Source organism: Homo sapiens, chromosome 1, assembly GCF_000001405.40.
Source record: "Homo sapiens chromosome 1, GRCh38.p14 Primary Assembly".
NCBI lineage: Eukaryota > Metazoa > Chordata > Mammalia > Primates > Hominidae > Homo > Homo sapiens.
Window position 1 is genome coordinate 26,642,390 of NC_000001.11, and position 24,398 is coordinate 26,666,787.

The 24,398-nt window shown below is 44.9% G+C and overlaps 1 annotated feature.

Moving 5' to 3' along the window:
• Nucleotides 13,532-13,755: a silencer, noted in NCBI's record as "fragment chr1:26982412-26982635 (GRCh37/hg19 assembly coordinates)". NCBI's record gives its function as "represses an EF-1alpha promoter that drives an FKBP-Casp9 reporter gene in an ReSE screen in phorbol 12-myristate 13-acetate-treated (for megakaryocytic differentiation) K562 erythroleukemia cells {active_cell/tissue: K562(+PMA)}" and the evidence as "EXISTENCE:reporter gene assay evidence [ECO:0000049][PMID:32094911]".

Below are 24,398 nucleotides of genomic sequence, written 5' to 3' on the forward strand. Positions count from 1 at the left end.
CTGATTATTTCTTTATAATTAAAGGTAAATATTTTTGGCAAAAATACTATATAAGTGGCCACTTGTTCAATAAAGAATGTGCTCAGGCCAGGCTCAGTGATTCACACCTGTAACCCTAGCACTTTGGGATGCTTAAGCTCTGGAGTTCAAGACCAGCCTGGGGAACATAGTGAAATCTCATCTCTACAAAAAGTACAAAAATTTGGCTGGTAGGGTAATCCTAGCACTTTGGGAGGCCGAGGCGGGCAGATCATTTGAGGCCAGAAGTTCGAGACCAGCCTGGCCAACATGACAAAACCCCGTCTCTACTAAAAATACAAAAATTATCTGGGTGTGGTGGCACATGACTGTAGACCCAGCTACTTGGGAGGCTGAGGCACGAGAATCCCTTGAACCTGGGGGGCGGAGGTTGCAGTGAGCTGAGATCATGCCATTGCACTCCAGCCTGGGCGACAGAGCAAGACTCTGTCTCAAAAAAAGAAAGAAAAAATTACAAAAATTAACCGGGTGTGGTGGCTCACACCAGTAGTCCCAGCTACTAGGGGGCAGGCTGAGGCAGGGGATCACCTGAACTTGGGAGATCAAGACTACAGTGAGCCGAGATTGTGCCACTGCACTCCATCCTGGGTGACAATGTAAGACCCTGTCTCAAAAAAAAAAAAAAAAAAAGAGTGTGCTCAAAGGGTAATCAGCCACTTGCTCTGTCCCTGATATCCCTCCCAATTCTTCACTGCTAGCCGTTTGTTCATCTACCAAACATTTGCCAAAGAGGCCTTTAAAAATTTATTACAGGCCGGGTGTGGTGGCTCATGCCTGTAATCCTAGCACTTTAGGAGGCCGAGGCGGGTAGATTGCCTGAGGTCAGGAGTTCAAGACTAGTCTGGCCAACATGGTGAAACCCCGTCTCTATTAAAAATACAAAAAAAGGGCCAGGTGCGGTGGCTCACACCTGTAATCCCAGCACTTTGGGAGGCCGAGACGGGCGGATCACGAGGTCAGCAGTTCGAGACCAGCCTGACCAACATGGTGAAACCCCGTCTCTACTAAAAATACAAAAAAATTAGCTGGGCGTGGTGGTGGGCGCCTGTAATCCCAGCTACTTGGGAGGCTGAGGCAGGAGAATCTCTTGAAACCGGAAGGTGGAGGTTGCAGTGAGCCGAGATTGCACCACTAGCCTAGGCAACGAGGCAACGAGAGCAAAACTCCGTTTCAAAAAAAAAAAAATACAAAAACAATTAGCCGGGCATGGTGGCGTGCACCTGTAATCCCAGCTACTCAGGAGGCTGAGGCAGGGGAATTGCTTGAACCAGGGAGGTGGAGGTTGCAGTGAGCCGAGATCGCGCCAGTGTACTCCAGCCTGGGTGACAGAACGAGCTCAAAAAAACAAAAAAAAGTATTACAGCTTGGATAACATAATGAGACCCTGTCTGTACAAAAACTACAAAAATTAGCTGGGTGTGGTGGTGTGTGCCTGTAGTCCCAGCTACTCAGAAATCGGAGGTGAACAGATTGCTTGAGCCCAGGAAGTTGAGGCTGCAGTGAGCTATGATCACACCGCTGCACTTCAACCTGGGTGACAGAGCAAGACCCTGTCTCAGAAAAAAAAAAAAAAAAAGTGTATTGTCTATTTTCACTTTTCTTTAGCCCACCCCCAAGCTTCAAAACTTTTTTTCTGTGTACAAAAATACAAATATTGGTTTGAAGACTATACTTTCAGGGATCATTTCTTCTTTGTTTTCGAGACTGAGTCTTGCTCTATCGCCCAGGCTGGAGTGCAGTGGCACAACCTTGGCTCACTGCAACCACCTCCGCCTCCCAGGTTCAAGTGATTCTCATGCCTCAGCCTCCTGAGTAGCTGAGACTACAGGTGCCCACCACCATGCCCAGCTCATTTTTGTATTTTTAGTAGAGATGGGGTTTTACCATGTTGGCCAGGCTGGTCTTGAACTCCTGACCTCAAGTGATCTGCCCACCTCAGCCTCCCAAACTGCGGGGATTACAGATGTGAGCCACCACACCTGGCCTCAGGGATCATTTCTATAGTTCGCTACAAATATTGCGTTGGAGCAGGTGAGTTTCTTGAACACAATACACTGAAAATTCCCATGCAGACCTTGAGAAATTATATTAAAGTCACATGGGTTGTCACTAATGTTTCTGGGAGATAACGGCAGCAACTAGTGAAAAAGAAGCCTTTCAAAGGATTAAAGAAATGGTTTAAATTAGTACTTTTGGAACACTGGAAGTTTCTCACTGTTGCTTTTTTTTTTTTTTTTTTTGAGACAGAGTCTTGCTCTGTCGCCCAGGCTGGAGTGCAGTGGCTCACTGCGATCTTGGCTCACTGCAAGCTCCGCCTCCCAGTTTCATGCCATTCTCCTGCCTCAGCCTCCCGAGTAGCTGGGACTACAGGTGCCTGCCACCACGCCCGGATAATTTTTTGTATTTTTAGTAGAGACAGGGTTTCACCGTGTTGGCCAGGATGGTCTCGATCTCCTGACCTCTTATCCGCCCGCCTTGGCCTCCCAAAGTGCTGGGATTACAGGCGTGAGCCACTGCGCCCGGCCATTTCTCACTATTGCTAATTTAGGAAAAAAGGAAATCCACTTTGTGATTTAGTCTTTGGTAAACTTGTATTATTCTTTTTATTTAGTTTCTCCTTTAGTTTTAGGTTACTGGTCCTTCTCTAGAGACAGTGGATATATTCACATTAAAGTTGAAGCAACTAGATAGCAACCAGCACCAGGACCATCACGCGCAGGCCAGGACCTGTGCCATGGCGTTGCTCTCAGATGCTGCTGATATTACTGATGTTGTCAGAGGTACCCTGGAGGGTGGAGCGCCCTGCCTTTGCCCGGGGAGAACCTTCTGGGGTTCCTGCCTTGGATGAGCACTCTGATCCATATGTCTCCAGGTTCCAGGAGTTGCAGAAATGCCACCAGGATCTGCAGAACACATTGCAAGACAAGGAGAGCTGGGAGGACTCAGACCCTGACCTCATCCAAAAGTGAAAAACCAATCCTGCCAAAGTGAATGTATTTTCTCTCCCCAAAGGCAGACTTGAGACCCCCAGCTTCAGGGTGGCTTCTGCCTGACTTCCAGAGCTCCAGCCAGTGCCTTTTGTCTGAAACCTCCATGTCCAGGACCCTTGGGCGGAGAAGAATCTGCTGGACACTGCTTGGGGCTGGACCCTGAGAGCGCTCACATTTGACACCCCAGAAAGCAAATAAAACAGTTGAAATATGTAAAAAAAAAAAAAAAAAAGAGCTGAAGCAACTACTAGATGGCAATTTTTTCTTGCATCCTTCCAGCTTTGTACACTTGGTCACACTTCATCTTCTCTTTTTGTTCCCCCTGAAAGAGCTGCTAACACTATTGGCTTTCTCTCTGTTTTTCTTTCCAGTCTCTACTTTTTTGGGAATATGGTTAAACAGATGCATCCTCTTCCCTTATTCTGATGAAATGTATTGCTGATGGCCTATCTGGCCACACTGCCCTCTTAATCTTTCTCAAAGGTGGCTCCTTGGTAATCACAACATTTTGCCATCTCTACCTTGGAGAGCAACTGTTAGAACCGGTTGAAGGAGTCCAGAGGAATGCTCTGAATTTGTTAGCAATTGCTTTGATTCCTTATTAAACATGATGTATGTTCAAGGTCCCTGATTTTCATAAAAATTATAGAACTGTGTAGATAAAAAGTTGTGTGTTTCTTTTGCACCACTTAACCAGTAGTGTGATCAATAAATGTTCTTTAGGCCGGGCGTGGTAGCTCACGCCTGTAATTCTAGCACTTTGGGAGACTGAGTCGGGCGGATTAGTTGAGGTCAGCAGTTCGAGACCAGCCTGGCCAACACGGTGAAATGCCATCCTTACAAAAAATACAAAAATTAGATGGGTGTGATGGTGGGTACTGGGGAGGCTGAAGCAGGAGAATCACTTGAACCCAGGAGTCAGAGGTTGCAGTGAGCCAAGATCGTGCTACTGCACTCCAGTCTAGGCAACAGAGCAAGACTCTGTCTCCAAAAAACGACAATAGGCCTGGCGTGGTGGCTCACTCCTGTAATTCCAGCCCTTTGGGAGGCCAAGCCTGGCGGATCACCTGAGGTCGGGAGTTTGAGACCAGCCTGACCAACATGGAGAAACCCCGTCTCTACTACAAATACGAAAACAATTATCCAGGCATGGTGGCACATGCCTGTAATCCCAGCTACTTGGGAGGCTGAGGCAGGAGAATGGCTTGAACCTGGGAGGCAGAGGTTGCGGTAAGCCAAGATTGCGCCATTGCACCCCAACCTGGGCAACAAGAGCGAAACTCCGTCTCAAAAAAAAAAAAAGAAAAAAGAAAAAAGAGGGCCAGTCGCAGTGGCTCATGCCTGTAATCCCACCACTTTGGGAGGTTGAGGCAGGCAGATCACTTGAGGCCACGAGTTTGAGACCAGCTTGACCAACGTGGAAAATCCTGTCTCTACTAAAAATGCAAAAATTTGCCGGACATGGTGGCACATGCCTGTAATCCCAGCTACTTGGGAGGCTGAGGCACGAGAATCACTTGAACCCAGGAGGCAGAGGTTGCAGTGAGCCAATAGCACGCCACTGTACTCCAGCCTGGGCAACTCACTGGGACTCTGTCTCAAAAATAAATAAATAAAATAAAGTGCACAATCCAGTGATTTGAGTATATTCACACCACTACCTAATTCCAGCACATTCTTTCACCCCCAAAGAAAACCCTCTACTCATTAGCAGTCATGCCCTAAACCCTATTCCTTTAGCCTCTGGTGATCACTAATCTACTTTGTACATATTTTATATAAAATAAGTCACACAATTTGTGGCCTGGTGTGACTGGCTTCTTTCACTTAGCATAATGTTTTCAGTTCCATGCATGTTATAGCAGGTATCAGTATTTCACTCGTTTTTATTGCTGAATAATATTCCATTTTGTGGCTATGTCACATTTTGTTTATCCATCAGCTGATGGACCCTAGAATTGTTTCCACTTTTTGGCTATTATGAATTCAATGCTATGGAGAGCTGAGCGACCAAGGCTGAGAGCGAGATGCCAGTGGTTGTGGGTCCCTAGGGACAGTCTCAGCCAGGCTGCTTTGACTGCATGGAGATAGGCTTTGATAATGGGTTGAACAGTGGCCATGGTGGCCACGGTGCTCCTCAGCACCCTCTGTCTCAGGATTGGGATGCAGGATCAGGAGGTGATGGGCGGCATTGGGAAAACCATGATGCAGAGTAGAGGCATCTTTGATACATTCATGACGATGGGGATGGGCTAACGATGCTAACCATGGTTGCCCACGACATCTACATCTTCCCATCGATCCCAGTCTATGCACTGTAATAAAACAAAGTCTTTGAGTTAAAAAATGGACACACAAACAAAAAATATTGATGCCATGAATGTTCATGTACAAGTTTTTGTGTGAATATTAATTTATACAGAAATTTTCATTAGTGTACTAACCAAAGTATTAATACAGAAGTAGTTGAATGTGGTCAGCATCATGCAGTGAATTTTTGTTGGTTTTGACTGCCCAACAGTCTTTCTCTTTCCTCTTAGTAACAGGATGCGTATTCTCTTATGTGTAACCACATAAGGAAGCTGACTCCACTCTTACATCCAGGGGTAACTTGGCTTAAGCCCGGCACACGCTTATCCCCATAGACATTGACTAGATCAGTGATGAACAGGTGACCTTAATTCAGGCCAGTGAGATATAAAAAGACCTTTGCTGGGGCTTCTGGAAAGCATACTTTCTTGTTATTCTGAAGGAGTTTCCTTGAGAGATATTATCTTCCTATTTGAGGTGAAGAAAACACAGATAGCCCTTCTAGAAGCTGCTGTAACCATACTGACGTCACAAAAGAACAAATTTAGGCGCCGGGCGTGGTGGCTCACGCCTGTAATCCCAGCACTTTGGGAGGCCGAGACAGGTGGATCACCTGAAGTCAAGAGTTCGAAACCAGCCTGGCCAACATGGTGAAAACTTGTCTCTACTAAAAATACAGAAATTAGCTGGGTGCGGGGTGGGTGCCTGTAATCCCAGCTACTCAGGAGGCTGAGGCAGAAGAATTGCTTGAACGCCGAAGGCGGATGTTGCAGTGAGCTGAGATTGCGCCATTGCACTCCAGCCTGGGCGACAGCGGGAGACTCTGTCTCCAACACACACACACACACACACACACACACACACACACACACACACACACACACACAAATTTAGGGATATCAAATATTTCAGAAGGAGAAATGGAAAGAAACCAGGTCTTTGGTAACATCATTGAGCCTTAACACTGAGGACAAAGCTTTGCCTGAATTTTCAGCTGATGACTAAATTCCCTTAATTGTTTAAGATATTTCGAGGCCGGGCGCAGTGGCTCACGCCTGTAATCCCAGCACTTTGGGAGGCCGAGGCGGGTGGATCACGAGGTCAGGAGATCGAGACCATCCTGGCTAACACGGTGAAACCCCGTCTCTACTAAAAATACAAAAAATCAGCCGGGCGAGGTGGTGGGCGCCTGTAGTCCCAGCTACTCCAGAGGCTGAGGCAGGAGAATGGCGTGAACCCCGGGGGGCGGAGCCTGCAGAGAGCCGAGATCGCGCCACTGCACTCCAACCTGGGCGACAGAGAAACTCCGTCTCAAAAAAAAAAAAAAAGAGATATTTCAAGATGATTTTTCTGTTGTTTGCTATAAAAATATTACACCACAATATTAACGAAAACTATTTTTTTTTTCTTTGAGACAGACTCTCATTCTGTTACACAGGCTAGAGTACAGTGGCGTGATCATGGCTCACTGCAGCCTCAACCTCCCGGGCTCAAGCAGTCCTCCCACCTCAGCCTCCCCAGTAGGTGGGACTACAGGTGCACGCCACTACGCTCAGCTAATTTTTTAATTAAATTTTTTTTCTTTTGTAGAGACAAGGTTGCCCAAGCTGGTCTCAAACTCCTCCCAGAGTGCTGGGATTTCAGGTGTGAGCCATCATGCCTGATCAGAAACCATTATTTTTATAGCACTTTATAATGTAACTCTGAGCTATGTGAATTCAGTGGTAGATACGTTGAATTCTGCCTCTGGGAGTCATGAAAGGATTCATTCCGGGCACGGTGGCTCATGCCTATAATCCTAGCACTTTGGGAGGCCGAGGTAGGCAAGTCACTTGAGGTCAGCCTGGCCAACATGGTGAAACTCTGTCTCTACTAAAAATACAAAAAAACTAGCCAAGCATGGTGGTGGGTGTCTATAATCCTAGCTACTCAGGAGGCTGAAGCAAGAGAATCGCGTGAACCTGGGAGGCCGGAGTTGCAGTGAGCCGAGATGGCGCCACGGCACTCCAGCCTGGGCGACAGCAAGACTCCGTCTCAAAAAAAAAAAAAAAAGATTCATGTAAAAAGTGACATTTGAATTGCAACTTGCCACTTAGAAAGTATTTACTAAGTATAGACCAGGCATGGTGGCTCACGCCTGTAATCCCAGCACTTTGGGAGGCCGAGATGGGCAGATCACGAGGTCAGGAGTTCAAGACCAGCCTGACCAACATGGTAAAACCCTGCCTCTACTAAAAATACAAAAATTAGCCGGGCATAGTGGTGCGCACCTGTAATCCCAGCTACTCAGGAGGCTGAGGCAGGAGAATCACTTGATCCTGGGAGGCAGAGGTTGCAGTGAGCCAAGATCGCACCACTGCACTACAGCCTGAGCAACACAGCCAGACTCCATCTCAGAAAAAAAAAAAAAGGTATTTACTAAGTACAATAAGCTAAACAAAATTAAGCAGATTTCTTTCACTGTAGACCTTCTGAGGGCCTTTATTATACTAATATGAATTATGACTATATCCAAGAGAGGGATATAATATGCAGTATTTACTAAATTTACTTCACCCTGAACACCTAGCATTATTTCAAGGAATATGGTTGGCTCAGGAAACACTGGTAGTAGAATGTTAACAGATGGCTAGAAGAGAAGAACAAGATCATCCTGGCCAATTTATTAAGAAGTTTTTATGGTGGGGGGTGCGGTGGCTCACACTTGTAATCATAGCACTTTGGGAGGCCAAAGCAGGTGGATCACAAGGTCAGGAATTCAAGACTAACCTGGCCAACACAGTGAAACCCCATCTCTACTAAAAATACAAAAACTAGCTGGGCGTGGAGGCAGGTGCCTGTAATCCCAGCTACTTGGGAGGCTGAGGCAGGAGAATCGCTTGAGCCCAAGAGGCAGAGATTGCAGTGAGCTGAGATCACACCATCGCACTCCAGCCTGGGGGACAAGAGGGTGAGTTCGTCTAAAAATAATAATAATAATAATAAATATTATTTGTATGGAAGAAAATATAGAAAGTTAGAAGGGAAGGCCGGGCCCGGTGGCTCATGCCTGTAATCCCAGCACTTTGTGATGCCGAGGCGGGCAGATCACCTGAGGTCAGGAGTTCAAGACCAGCAGGGCCAACATGGTGAAATCCCGTCTCTACTAAATATACAAAACTTAGCCGGGAGTGGTGGCACACACCTGTAGTCCCAGCTACTCAAAAAGCTGAGGCAGGAGAATCGCTTGAGCCCGGTGACGGAAGTTGCAGTGAGCCGAGATCGCACCACTGCACTCCAGCCTGGGTAACAGAGCAGGACCCTGTCTAAAAAAAATAAATAAATAAAATAAAGAAAGAAAGAAAAAGAGAGAGAGAGAGAAAAAAGAAAATTAAAAGGGATGAAAATGTGAGAAGAAAAAAAATAGGAATTTGTAAGGATGGAGAGGGAGATGGGAAAAGTGTGAAGTAGCCATAAAGCTAACTAATGTGTTTGATGACTCGTTCAGAATCTGAGAGTGCCAAGTCTAGTAGAGTAAAAGACATTAGGAAATTGCCTCTAAATTATATCATTGTCAGTTCTTTCTCAAAACGTACCTGTTAATTTAATTTAATTTAATTATTTATTTATTGTTGAGATGGAGTCTTGCTCTGTCGCCCAGGCAGGAGTGCAATGGTGCAATCTCGGCTCACCGCAACCTCTGACTCCTGGGTTCAAGCAATTCTCCTGCCTCAGCCTCCCCAGTAGCTGGGATTACAGGCAGCCGCCACCATGCCTGACTAATTTTTGTATTTTTAGTAGGGACGAGGTTTCACCATGTTGGCCAGGCTGGTCTCGAACTCCTGACCTCAGGTCATCCACCTGCCTCAGCCTCCCAAAGTGCTGGAATTACAGGAGTGAGCCACCGCATCAAGCCTACACACCTGTTTATTTATTCTTAGAAGGAAGAGGAACTATTTTTTGTAAGTATTAAGGTCCAGTGAATGACAAACCAGTGAATTAAGTTATTTTTTGAGCTTGAATTTCATAGAATCATGGAACATAAGATCTGAAGAAACTTGGAAATTGTCTCATAAAACTAATCTAGTGTTCTTCCCTCTCATTCATTCATTTATTAATTCACCAAGTATTTGTTGAGTGTGCCTGGCAAAATCTCAGGTCACATAGGTGAAAAAATAGTTCCGATCCTGAAGGATAAAATAACCGCTATGAAAAGCTTTATGCAAGTTTCAAAGGGCATACAGATGAAGAGTTGTCTGGTTTTTTGTTGTTGTTGTTGTTGTTGTTGTTGTTGTTGTTGTTGTTTTGCAATGATGTCTCGCTCTGTTACCCAGACTGGAGTGCAGTGGCACATTCTTGGCTTACTGCAACCTCCACCTCCTGGGTTCAAGCGATTCTCCTGCCTCAGCCTCCCCAGTAGCTGGGATTATAGGCACTTGCCACCATGCCCAGCTAATTTTTGCATTTTTAATAGAGACGGGGTTTCACCACGTTGCTCAGGCTGGTCTCGAACTCCTGACTTCAAGTGTTCCGCCTGCTTCAGCCTCCCAAAGTGCTGGGATTACAGGTGTGAGCCACTGTACCCAGCCTGTTTGTTTTTGAGATGAAGTTGCAATACTTGAGCTAAGTCTTCAAAAAGGAACAGGCGTTTACCCGGTGAACAGGATGGGAAGAAATTCTGGCTGAAGGGATAGCATATGAAAAAGCACTGGAATATGATATAGGAGGGTATATTTAGAGAAGAGAATGTAATTTGGTATATAAGAGATGCCAGTCATTTCTCCTATACTTGCATCCCCTTCTTAGCAACCTGCCCTTCCCAAAGTCAATACATAGTGGATACCCTATATATTGAATGGCTCTGTAGTCCTGGCCACAAAATCAGGAATGAGCCCTTGACTAGAGCTAACGAGATTTTTATCATTCAGGAATAAAGTAAACTGTATAGACTTTCATTGTTGTTAATGGCATACAATGTAATTTCAGCCAGCCCTCCTACTGAATACAGCTAATCAGCTGGATGAAAAATAAAATGCATCCTCTAAAAGTATATCATAACTAACGAAATAGTGAGGAATTAACTGGGCCAAGATTTTGGATTGGTAAGGAATTTGAAGTGAGGAGCTAGCACTCGATGCTTTGTCTGAGGCATTTGCTGATGCAGAACAAGTAATTAGAAAGCTAAGATGTATGTTTGGCAGCCTTAAGAGCCCATGGGGACAAAAGTTGGAGTCCAGGACTAATAAAGGGTGGCAGCCCTTCTATATCACCCTCGGATTTGGCCTAGGACTTTAAAACCCTGCATTGTAGGTATAAGGGAGTACAAGTAAAGTAACTCTCATGTAGACTGCAGACTGAATTCAAATCATCTAAGTGGCCCAGAAAAATCTCAAGGCCTGAACTTACATTAAGTTGCCCCTAATTGCTAGTGGCAAGAGTAAAACCAAATCCACTTTGGAGAAAAAATAACATCATCCCAGGCCTCAATTGTTTCTGTAATTTTCTTTCTTTCCCTTCCTTCCTATTTCTCCTTCCTTCCTTCCTTCCTTCCTTCCTTCCTTCCTTCTTTTTTGTTTGTTTTTGAGACACAGTCATTCAGGCTGGAGAACAGTGGCACGATCTCAGCTCACTACAACCTTCGCCTCCTGGGTTCAAATGATTCTTCTGCCTCTCAGCCTCCTGAGTAGCTGGGATTACGGGTGTGTGCACCACGCCCGGCTAGTTTTTGTATTTTTAGTAGAGTCAAGGTTTCACTGTGTTGGCCAGGCTGGTCTCAAACTCCTGGCCTCAAGTGATCCGCCCGCCTTGGCTTCCCAAAGTGCTGAGATTACAGGCACAAGCCACCGCACCCAGCCTATAATTTTCTTTCAAATACAATGTTCAGTACAAGAATAACCAGGTTTCTAGGAACAAGAATCAAAATAGCTTAAACAAAAAGACAACCAGGCACACAAGGAGACAAAATACCAGAAATAAGGAGGACAAATAACAGATAATAGAAACAGACCCACAGGGATTCCATATTCTGCAATGACTAGATACGGACTATAAACAACTCTGTGTACTATGTTTAAGGAGATCAAAGCCAAACTTGAAAGATTTGGCAGAGAACTGGAATTATAAAAACTGAAATTAAAAAGGAATATATTGGCTGAGCGCAGTGGCTCATGCCTGTAATCCCAGCACTTGGGGAAGCCAAGGCAGGTGGATCATCTGAGGTCAGGAGTTCAAGACCAGCTTGGCCAACATGGTGAAACCCCATCTCTACTAAAAATACAAAAAATTAGCCGGGTGTGGTGGCAGGTGCCTGTAACCCCAGCTACTTGTGAGGCTGAGGCAGGAGAATCACTTGAACCTGGGAGGCAGAGGTTGCAGTGAGCCGAGATCACGCCATTGCACTCCAGCCTGGGCAACAAGAGTGAAACTCCTTCTCTAAAAATAAAAATAAATATAAATATATTAATAGTAGATTTATAAGTGAACAAAATAGAAACTCTAGCTTGAGACAGTAGTGAGCACTGAAATATGTAAAGATCAAAGAGAATCAGCCTACTGATATTGTTGGTCCACCTACAAGTTCAGGAAGAAATACAAAAAGAAACAGAGATTAAAATGCATGTGACTCCAGGGAAAGAAAGATGGAGAGAGAGTAGGTACTCGACTGTTTTCCGGTTCAGCCTCTTCCCACTACAAAGGATGCCACAAGAAGCTGGGCACAGTGGCTCACACCTGTAATCTTAGCACTTTGGGAGTCTGAGGCAGGAGGAATTGCTTGAGGCCAGAAGATCGAGACCAGCCTGGGCAACAGAGCAAGACCCTGTCTCTAAAAAAAAAGTGGGCTACAATGCCACTGCCCTCCAGCTTAAGCAACAGAGTGAGACCCTGTCTCAGAAAAGAAAAAAAAAAGGATGCCACAATAAATATATTTGTATGCATAGTCTTACGTATTGATGTTTAATTTTTTTTGCCTCCCCTCCCTCCCTTGGTGTTTTTATATCTATAGAAAAGATTCCCAAAAGTGAAATTGCTGCATTAAAATTATGTGTTACATTTTTAAAGATATTACCACAGTACTTTCCAGAAGGAGATAGCAATTTTTATTTCCCCCAGCAATGTGTGAGAATTCTCATCTCCCCACATTTTTTCTAGTACTGAATGATTTGATAACCCAAATAGTTTAAAATGGTATCTTTAAAAGTCTATTCTGCATAAAGACAGATGTGACCAATGGAATAGAATAGAGAGCCCAGAAATAAACTCTCAAGTATATGATTAAATGATTTTCAACAAGGGTATCAAGATCATTTAATGGGGTCGGGCACAGTGGCTCATGCCTATAATCCCAGCACTTTGGGAAGCTGAGCCTAGGAGTTCAAGATCAAACATGATGAGACCTCATCTGTACAAATAATACAAAAATTAACTGGGCATGGTGGCACATATCTGTGGTCTCAGCTATTCAAGAGGTTGAGATGGGAGGATCTCTTGAGCCTGGGAGGTCGAGGCTGCAGTGAGCCATAATCGTGCCACTGCACTCTAGCCTGGGCAACAGAGGGAGACCCTTGTCTCAAAAAAAAAATCATTTCATAGGGGAAAGAACAGTCTTTTTAACAAATGGTGTTGGGAAAATTGGATATCCATAAGCAAAAGACTCTTACTTTACATTGAATACAAAATGAACTCAAAATGGGTCAAAGATCTAATATCATAGTTAAAATTAGAAAATTCTCAGAAGAAAACATAGGAGAAAAGCTTCATGACATTGGATTTGGCAATGATTCTTGAATATGACACCAAAAGCATAGGCAACAAAAGAAAAAAATAGATAAATTGAGGATTGGGGCATGGGGCTCATGCCTGTATTCTCAGCGCTTTGGGAGGCCAAGGCAGAAGTATCACTTGAGGCCAGGAGTTTGAGACCACTTGGACAAGTTAGCCAGATCCCATCTCTGAGTGTGCCTGCAGTTCTAGCTACTCGAGAGGCTGAGGAGGGAGGATCGCTTGTATGCAGGAGTTCGAGGTTACAGTTAGCTATGATTGCACCACTGACCACTCCAGCCTGGGCAACAGAACGAGACCCTGTATATAAACAAATTTTTAAAAAAGGAAAAGAAAAAAATAAATAAATTGAACTATATCAAAATTTAAAACTTGTGTGCATCAAAGAACACTGTCAACAAAGTAAAAAGGCCACACACAGAATGGGAGAAAATATTTGAATATCATATATATGATAAAAGATTGATATCCAGAACACATGATGAACTCCTAGAACTCACTGACTGAAAAACAAACCCAACTAAAAAAATGGACAGGCCAGGCGTGGTGGCTCACGCCTGTAATCCTAGCACTTTGGGAGGCCGAGGCAGGCAGGTTGCCTGAGTTCAGGTGTTCGAGAACAGCCTGGGCAACATGGTGAAACCCTGTCTCTAATAAAATACAAAAAATTAGCTGGGTGTGGTGGCGTGCGCCTGTAGTCCCAGCTACTCAGGAGGCTGAGACAGGAGAATTGCTTGAACCTGGGAGGCGGAGGTTGCAGTGAGCCAAGATTGTGCCACTGCACTCCAGCCTGGGCGACAGAGCGAGACTCTGTCTCAAAAAAAAAAAAAAAAAAAAAAAAAAAAGGACGAAGGATTTGAATAGATATTTCTCCAAAGAAGCTATACAGATGGCCAATAATTTACATGAATGATGCTAAACATCAGTAAATGTTAGGGAAATACAAATCAAAACCACAATGAGATATCACTTCACATCCACTAGAATGATGCTAATCAAAAAAATAGGTAATAATAAGTATTGGTAAGGATATGGAGAAATTGGAACCTTCATACATTACTAATGGGAATGTAAGATGGTGCAGCATTCTAGAAAACAGCTTGGTGATTCCTCAAACATTAAACATACTAAGGTTGGTGCAAAAGCGATTGCAGTTTTTGCCATTGAAAGGAATGGCAAAAACTGCAATTATTTTTGCACCAACCTAATATAATTATCATATGATCCAGTACTTCCACTTTGGGGTATATTATATCCCAAAGAATTGACAGCAGGGCCCTGAACGGATATTTGTATAACAATTTCATAGCCATTTCTTTTTTTCTTTTTTTTTTTTTTTGAGACAGAATCTCGCTCTGTTACCAGGCTGGAGTGCAGTGACATGATCTCGGCTCACTGCAACCTCTGCTTCCCGGGTTCCAGCGATCCTCTTGCCTCAGCTTCCCGAGTAGGTGGGACTACAGGCAGTCACCACCACAACCACACATGGCTAATTTTTGTATTTTTAGTAGAGATGGGGTTTCACCACATTGCCCGGGCTGGTCTAGAACTCCTGGCCTCAAGCGATCCATCCACCTCGGCCTCTCAAAGTGCTGGAATTATAGGCGTGAACCACCACACCTGGCCCCAATTTCATAACAATATTATTCACAATAGCCAAAAGGTGGAAGCAACCCAAGTGTCCATCAACAGATGAATGGATAAACAACATGTAGTATATACATACATACAAGGGAATATTATTCAGCCTTAAAAGGGAATCAATAAGGCCAGGCATGATGGCTTACACCTGTAATCCCAGCACTTTGGAAGGCCGAGGCAGGCAGATCACTTGAGGTCAGGAGTTTGAGACCAGCCTGACCAACATGGTGAAACCCCATCTCTTCTAAAAATACAAAAATTAGGCCAGGCACGGTGGCTCACACCTGTAATCCTAGCACTTTGGGAGGCCAAGGCATGTGGATCACTTGAGATCAGGAGTTCGAGACCAGCCTGGCCAACATCTACTAAAAATACAAAAATTAGCTGGGCGTGGTGGCACATGCCTGTAGCCTCAGCTACTTAGGAGGCTGAGGCAGGAGAATGGCTTGAACCTGGGAGATGGAGGTTGCAGTGAGCTGAGATTGTGCCATTGTACTCCAGCCTGGACAACAGAGAAAGACTCCCTCTCAGAAAAAAAAAAAAAAAAAAATTAGCCTGGTGTGGTGGCGCATGCCTGTAATCCCAGCTACTCTGGAGGCTGAGGCCTGCGAATCGCTTGAACCTAGGAGGGGGAGGCTGCAGTGAGCCAAGATTGCACCACTGCACTCCAGCCTGGGCAACAGAGTGAGACTCAATCTTAAAAATAAATAAATATGAGGTGGATCATGCCTGTAATCCTAGCACTTTGGGAGGCTGAGGTGGGTGGATCACCTGAGGTCAGGAATTTGAGACTAGCCTGGCCAACATGGTGAAACCCCGTCTCTACTAAAAATACAAAAATTAGCCAGGCGTGGTGGCACACGCGCATGTGCACCCGTAGTCCCAGCTACTTGGGAGGCTGAGGCAGAAGAATTACTTGAACCTGAGAGACAGCAGTTGTGGTGAGCCAAGATCACACCATTGCACTCCAGCTTCGTGACAGAGCAAGACTCTATCTCAAAAATAAAAATTAAAATATAAATAAATAAAAATAAAAAAGGAATGAAAATTTGATACATGTTACAATATGATGAACCTTGAAAACATTATACTAAGTGAAATAAGCCAGATGCAAAAGGAAAAACACATGATTCCACTTATGTGAGGTACCTAGAATTGTCAGATTCACAGAGACAAAAGACAGAATACTAGTTACCAGGGGCTGGGGGTAAGGGAATTAGTAGTTTTATTTTTTATTTTTTTCTGAGACAAGGTCTCACTCTGTTGCCCAGGCTGGACTGCAGTGACGTGATCACAGCTCACTGCAGCCTCGACCTCCTAGGTTCAGGTGATCCTCCCACCTCAGCCTCCCAGGTAGCTGGGACTATAAGCATGCACTACGATGCCCAATTAATTTTGTGTGTGTGTGTGTGTTTTTAGTAGAGATGAGATTTTGCCAAGTTTCCCAGGCTGATCTCAAACTCCTGGTTTCAAACAATCCTTCTGCCTCAACCTCTCGAAGTGCTGGGAATACAATCATGAGCCACCACACCCGGCCAGAAGAATTATTGTTTAATGGGTATAGAGTTTAAGTTTTGGTGACAAAAATGTTCTGGAGATGGGTAATGGTGATGGTTGCCACTGAATTGTACAATCAAAAAGGGTTAAAACTGGCCGGGCGTGATGGCTCACGCCTGTAATCCCAGCACTTTGGGAGGCCGGGGGGGGGTGGATCACTTGAGGTCAGGAGTTCGAGACCAGCCTGACCAGTGTGGTGAAACCCCATCTCTACTAAAAATACAAAAAATTAGCCAGGCATGGTGGCGCATGCCTGTAATCCCAGCTATTTGGGAGGCTGAGGCAGGAGAATCTCTTGAACCCAGGAGGCAGAGGTTGCAGTGAGCCAAGATCGAGCCATTGCATTCCAGCCTGGGCAACAAGAGTGAAACTCCGTTTCAAAAAAAAAAAAAAATGGGGGCAGGGGGAGGCTGAGGCAGGGGAATCACATTAACCTGGGAGGCGGAGGTTGCGGTGAGCCGAGATGGCGCCACTGCACTCCAGCCTGGCGACAGAGCGAGACTGCATCTCAAAAAAAAAGGGGGGAGGTTAAAATGATAAATTTAAAATGTTATAAACGTTTTTGATTTTTGTTTTTGAGACAGTCTCGCTCTGTTGCCCAGGGGGCAGTGGAACGGCATGATCTCAGCTCACTGCAACCTCTGCCTCCCGGGGTTCAAGCGATTCTCCCTGCCTCAGCCTCCCAAGTAGCTGGGATTACAGGCGCCTGTCACTACACCCGGCTAATTTTTGTATTTTTAGTAGAGATGGGGTTTTGCCATGTTGGTCAGGCTGGTCTCAAACTCCTGATCTCAGGTGATGCACCTACCTCGGCCTCCCAAAGTGTTGGGAATGCAGGCGTGAGCCACCGTGGCCAGCCCTTTATTTTATTTTTGAGATGGAGTCTCGCTCTGTCACCCAGGCTGGAGTGCAGTGGCACGATCTCAGGTCACTTCCACCTCTGCCTCCTGGGTTCAAGTGATTCTCCTGCCTCAGCCTCCCCAGTAGCTGGGACTACAGGCATGCGCCACCACACCCAGCTAATTTTTGTATTTGCAGTACGGACGGGGTTTCACCATGTTGGCCTGGCTGGTTTTGAACTCCTGATCTCAAGTGATCTGCCTGCCTCAGCCTCCCAAAGTGCTGGGATTACAGGCGTGAGCCACCACATCCGACTTTTATTTTATTTTTGAGATAGGGTCTTCCTCTGTCTTTCAGGCTGGAGTGCAGTGGCATGATCTCAGCTCCCTGCAACCTCTGCCTCCTGGACTCAGGCCATCCTCCCACCTCAGCCTCCCAAGTAGCTGGGACTACAGGGGTACACCATCATATCCAGCTAATTTTTAAGTTTTTTGTAGAGACAGGCTTTCCACCATGTTGCCCAGGCTGGTTTCGAACTCCTGCGCTGAAGCGATTTGCCCACCTTGGCCTCCCAAAGTGCTGAGATTACAGGTGTGAACTACCATGCCTAGCCAAAAGTATTTTGTATTTTCATGATTACTAGTGAAGTTGCGCATCTGATTTTTGACATTTTCTATTTCATCTTTTATAAATTGCCTGCTGTTATTCATTGTCCATTTTTCTCTGCTGGATTGTTTATCTTTTTGTTATTAATTTATAGGAGTTCCTTTTACATTCATAGTATTTGTCTTTTGTCTACAAATATTGCCTTTCATTTGATTTAGTTTACGTTGTCTTTTGATACGCACAAATTTCACAGAATGGCTGCCAGAGTCCTACTGCTGCTACCAGGTGAATTTAGTATGGTGGTAGGTAGAAGGAGTTTCCAGAAAACAGGATGCTGGACAGAAAACCTAATGGGTGCCTACTATATAAACTTTAGTAAAGATGTTACCTTTCTAGCAATGAACTGCAAGGAAATGTCAGAGACACCAGTTATGGGTGCTGTTAGCTATCTGAGTCATGGTGTTCTTGTCACCATTCACTCATTTATTCCTCCAATCATGTATTTATTTATTTATTCAGCAAATATTTATTAAATATTTATTATTATGTAGGGCATAACATACTAAGCACTGTATTGTAACTAGACAACTGAGACATGGGCTCTCCTTTTGACAGGTTCAGTGTCTATTTAGGGAGGTAGAAATACTAAATTATCAATAATAGCAAAAAGATGAGTACCACACTAGAAAGATAATGGTGCTTCAGGCTAGAAAGCTGTAGACATAACAAGTGAATCACCAGGTGCAGTGCCTCACGCCTGTAATCCCAACATTTTGGGAGGCCGAGGAGGGCAGATCACTTGAGGCCAGAAGTTCGAGACCAGCCTGGCCAACATGGTGAAACCCCATCTCTACCAAAAATGCAAAAATTAGCTGGGCATGGTGGCGCATGCCTGTAATCCCAGCTACTTGGGAGGCTGAGGCAGGAGAATCACTTGAACCCAGGAGGCGGGTTGCAGTGAGCTGAGATCACACCACTGCACTCTAGCCTAGCCGACAGAGCGAGACTCCCATCCCCCCCCACCAAAAAAAAAGTGAATGGATTTAAGCTATATTTTTAAAGCAAAACTGAACGAACTTGCTGATGATTTGATATAGGTATCAAAGAAGCATTGAAGGTGATTCCTAGGATCTTGACTCAAGCAACTTTGAATATTCAGAAGAGCCTTTTACTGAGCTAGAGAAGACTGAGATTAAGATAGAGGTTCCAGGAAGAAAAATCAAAAGTTCTGTTTTAGATATATTAAGTAGTTTGAGATGCCTACTAGATATGTCAGTGATTCGTCATGTGTATTTAATATATGAGACTAGGAGCTCAAGGAAAAGAGGTAAGGCTGGATTATAAATTAGGTAGTCAATGGAAGATAGATGGTATTTAAAGTATGGGGCTGGATGGAATCACCTAGGGCAAACTATGGATAGAGTAGAAAAGAGCAAAAGGTAGAGTGAATGTTTAGAAGTTAGGTCAAGGAAGAAGAGGATCCAACCAAGATGACTGAGGGTGGCCAAGGAGGCAAGAAGAACACCAGAAGAATGGTGCCCTAGAAGGTGAGAACGAAATTATTTTGGCTGGGCGCAGTGGCTCATGCCTGTAATCCCAGCACTTTGGGAGGCTGAGGAGGGAGGATTGCTTGAGTTCAGGAGTTAGAGACCAGCCTAGGCAACATGGCAAAACTCCATCTCTCCAAAAATTAATAATAAAAAATAGCCGGGGATGATGGCCTGCACCTGTAGTCCCAGCTACTCGGGAGGCTGAGGTGGGAGGATCGGTTGAGCCCAGAGCCTGACGTTGCAGTGAATTGCACCACTGCCCTCCAGCCTGGGTGACAGAGTGAGACATTGTATCTAAAAAATACCAGAAAGAAAGAAGTTATTTCAAGGGGAGAGTAGTCAACAGGGTTGAATACTGTTTTTGTTTTGTTATTTATTTATTTAGACACAGGGCCTCACTCTGTTGCCCAGGTTGGAGTGCAGTGGCACTATCACAGTTCACTGGAACCTCGACTTCTGAAGCTCAAGCAATCCTCCCACCTCAGCCTCCCAAGTAGCTGGGACTATAGGTGCACACCACTATGACCGGCTAATTGTTAAATTTTTTGTAGAGACCGGGGGGTTTCGCCATGTTGCCCATGCTGGTCTCCAGCTCCTGGGCTCAAATGATCTGCCTGCCTTGGCCTCCCAAAGTGTTGGGATTATAGGCGTAAGCCACCATGCCCAGCCAAAAACAAGTTTTTGAATAGATTATATCACATGGTACAAAATTTTAAAGATACCAAAGGATATACAGTGAAAAGTCTCACTGACACACCTTTCCTTCAGCCACAGTGTTTTTCTCCCTGAATTCAATATTTCTAGGCTCTTATGAATCCTTCTGGAAATATTCTCTGTATATACAAGCAATTGTGTGTGTGTTCTTCTACCTTCCTTCTTTCTAAACAAATACACAAATGGCAACTCATTGTACACACTGTTTCTGTCCCTTGCTTTTCTACTTATCTATCTATCTTGGAGATTGTTCCATATATTTATATAGAAAGGTCTTTCACTTTCTTTTTTTTTTTTTTGAAGTTTTTTTCTTTTTTTTTTTCTGCTTCGCTGATTCTCTGAATTGCTTTATTTATGGCTCCATTGTATTGTTACACCTTAATTTATTTATTCAATCCCTTAGTGACTCCTATTGATGAATATTTAGGTTGTTTCCAATCTTTTGCTATTACAAGTAAAGGTGCAATGAATAATTTTTTACATAGAGTATTTCATATGTGTGGCAATGTATTTGTAGGATAAAATTACTTAGAAGAACTGCTGAGTCAAAGGGTAAGTACATTTGCGACTTTGATAGATAAGGTGCCAAAATGCTTCTATGGGGCCGGGTGCGGTGGCTCATGCCTGTAATCCCAGCATTTTGGGAGGCCAAAGCGGGTGAGTCACCTGGGTTCGGGAGTTTGAGAACAGCCTGGCCAAAATGGTGAAACCCTGTCTGCACCAAAAAATACAAAAATTAGTTGGGCATGGTGGCATGCACCTGTAGTGCCAGCTACTAGGGGGGCTGAGGTGGGCAGAATCTCTTAAACCTGAGAGATGGAGGTTGCAGTGAGCCAAGATTGTGTCACTGCACTTCAGCCTGGGTGACAGAGCAAGATTCCATCTCAAAAAAAAAAAAAAAGCTTCTGTGGAATTTGTACCAATGTCTCTCCCACCAGCAATGATGAGAAGGCCTGCTTCCCTATATAGTGTGTTATCAATTTTTTATCTTTTTTTTGAGATGAGTCTCGCACTCTCGCCCAGGCTGGAGTGCAGTGGCGCCATCTCTGCTCACTGCAAGCTCTGCCACCAGGGTTCACACCATTCTCCTGCCCTCAGCCTCCTGAGTAGCTGGGACTGCAGGCACCCGCCACCACGCCCGGCTATTTTTTTGTATTTTTAGTAGAGATGGGGTTTCACCGTGTTAGACAGGATGGTCTCAATCTCCTGACCTAGTGATCCGCCCATCTCAGCCTCCCAAAGTGCTGGGGTTACAGGCATGATCCACTGCGTATTTATTTATTTTTAAGATGGAGTCTCACTCTGTCGCCCAGGCTGGAGTGCAGTGGTGCAATCTTGGCTCACTGCAACCTCCCCCTCCTAGGTTCAAGCGATTCTCAGGCCTCAGTTTTTTATCTTTGCCAATCTGATAAGTGAAAAATGGTCTTTTGGTGTACTTATTTAATTTTAATTTCTTTTGAGTGAAGTTGAACATATTTCCAAAACTTTAAAAGCTATTTGTATTCCTTTTTCTTTGAATTGTCTCTTCCTACCCTTTGCTAATTTTTCTTTTCTTTTTCTTTTTCCTTTTTTTTTTTTTTTTTTTTGACAGAGTCTCGCTCTGTTGCCAAGGCTGGAGTACAGTGGCATGATCTCGGTTCACTGCAACCTCTGCCTCCTGGGTTCAAGCAATTGTCCTGCCTCAGCCTCTCGAGTAGATGGGATTAATAGGTGTGCGCCACCACGCCCGGCTAATTTTTGTATTTTTAGTAGAGATGGGGTTCACCACGTTGGCCAGGCTGGTCTCGGAACTCCTGGCCTCAAGTAATCCGCCCTCCTCAGCCTCCCGAAGTGCTAGGATTATAGGCATGAGCCACCGCGCCTGGCCCCTTTGCTCATTTTTCTAATGAATTGTTGGTCTTTTTCTTATTGATTTGTAGCTCTTTGGCCAGGCTGTAGTGCAGTGGTGTGATCTCAGCTCACTGCAACCTCTGCCTGCTGGGCTCAAGCAATCCTCCCACCTCAGCTTCCAGAGTAGCTGCGACTACAAGGGCGTGCCACTGTGCCCAGCTAATGTGTGTGTGTGTGTGTGTGTGTGTGTGTGTGTGTGTGTGTGTGTGTGTGTGTTTTGTAGAGACAGGGGGGTTTCACCATGTTGCCCAGGCTGGTCTCCAGCTCCTGGGCTCAAGCGATCCGCCCACCTCGGCCTCTCAAAGTGCTGGGATTGCAGGCGTGAGCCACTGAGCCCAGCCTATAGGAGCTCTTAATATATTAGGCACATTATCCCTCTGTCATGTGAGTTGTGAGTGTCTTTTCATTTTGTTAATGGTGATTGTTTTTTCCTGCAGAAATTTTTTATTCTTGTATAGTTGAATTTATCCAAGTTTTGTGTCAAACTTTAAAAACCACCTCCACTCGAAAGTTACTTTTCTTCCCTTAATTTCCCAGAAGAGTTTTTTAAGTATTGGGAAAGAGAAACTAGAACATGCTTGTATATTTTCAATAGAAAGGAAGAAATTGATGAATCAGGAGAGATTTGGGAAATTTTCAGCTGCAAAGCCCATGACTAGGCTAGAGGGGATGGGAAACAGAGCCCAGATGGAATGATTGGCTTTGGAACAGCCTCACTTCTCCCCTTGTCACAGGAGGGAAGACAGGATATGGGTTCTGATGCAGGTAGGTTGGGGGATTTGGTGGTGAGAGGATGACAAAGTTCCTATCTGCTTGCCTATGTTTTCCCAATGACGTAAAAGGCAAATTCGTTAGCTGAGAGAGCAGAGCAGGAAAAAGCTGTTAAGGTTTGAGGAGAGATGGAGTTTAGAGGTTTAGAGGCCAGGTTGATTAGCAATTCTAACTTCATTTTCCCCCCTTGAAACAAAAGAAAATTTATTTAAAGTTTTTATCAGTATAATGATTTGATCTGATGGAATGACTCTGTTTCCCTTTGAAAACTTCTTTCTTCTTAAGGAATGGTTCATATGGTTATATTTTTCTTTTCTTTTTTTTTCGAGATGGAGTCTTGCTCTATCGCCCAGATTGGAATGCAATGGCATGATCTCAGCTCACTGCAACCTCCGCCTCCCGGGTTCAAGTGATTCTTGTGCCTCAGCCCCCTGAGTAGCTGGGATTACAGGTGTGCCCCACCACACCTGGCTAATTTTTTGTTGTTGTTGTTTTGTTTTTGAGACGCAGTCTCATTCTGTTTCCCAGGCTAGAGTGCAGTGGCACGATTTCGGCTCACTAAAACCTCTGCCTCCCGGGTTCAAGCGATTGTCCTGCCTTAGCCTCCTGAGTAGCTGGGATTACAGGCTCGTGCCACCACACCCAGCTAATATTTGTATTTTTAGTAGAGACAGGGTTTCTCCATGTTGGTCAGACTGGTCTCAAACTCCCGATCTCTGGTGTTCTGCCTGCCTCGGCCTCCCAAAGTATTGGGATTACAGGTGTGAGCCGCTGTACCCGGCCCACACCTGGCTAATTTTTGTAATTTTATTAGAGAAAGGGTTTCACCATGTTGGCCAGGCTGGTCTCGAGCTCCTGGCCTCATGTGATCTGCCGGCCTCGGCTTCCCAAAGTACTGGGATTACAGGTGTGAGCCACTGTGCCCAACCATCATATGGTTATATTTTTCTGACAGTATAAATGACTTGGCCTCAATGTGCTATACCTGGGCTCCTAGCAGGGTGAGCTTGTTTTCAAGAAGTGTTTGGGTTCATTCTTTTTTTTTTTTTGAGATGGAGTCTCGCTCTGTTGCCCAGGCTGGAGTGTAATGGCATGATCTCGGCTCACTGCAACTTCTGACCCCCAGGGTTCAAGTGATTCTTGTGCCTCAGCCTCCCAAGTAGGTGAAATTAACAGCGCCCACCACCATGCCCAGCGAATTTTTTTGTATTTTCAGTTGAGACAGGGTTTCACCATGTTGGCCAGGCTGGTTTCGAACTCCTGACCCAAAGTGATACACCCACCTTGGCCTCGCAAAGTGCTAGGATTACAGATGTGAGCCACCGCGCCTGGCCTGGGTTCACTCTTTGGATGACAATTGAAAGCTTCTCCATAAATAATTCATTTTCTTTTTTTCCTTTTTTTTTTTTAATGGAGTCTCACTTTGTCACCCAGGCTGGAGTGCAGTGGCGCGATCTCAGCTCACTGCAACCTCCGCATCCCGGGTTCAAGCAATTCTCCTGCCTCAGCCTCCCGAGTAGCTGGGATTACAGGCGTGTGCCACCACGCCCAGCTAATTTTTGTATTTTTAACAGAGACAGGGTTTAGCCATGATGGCCAGGATGGTCTCAATCTCTTGACCTCGTGTTCCACCCACCTCCACTTCCCAAAGTGCTGGGATTACAGTCGTGAGCCACGGTGCCCAGCCAAATAATTCATTTTCTACACTTACCACACAGATGCTAAAAGCTCA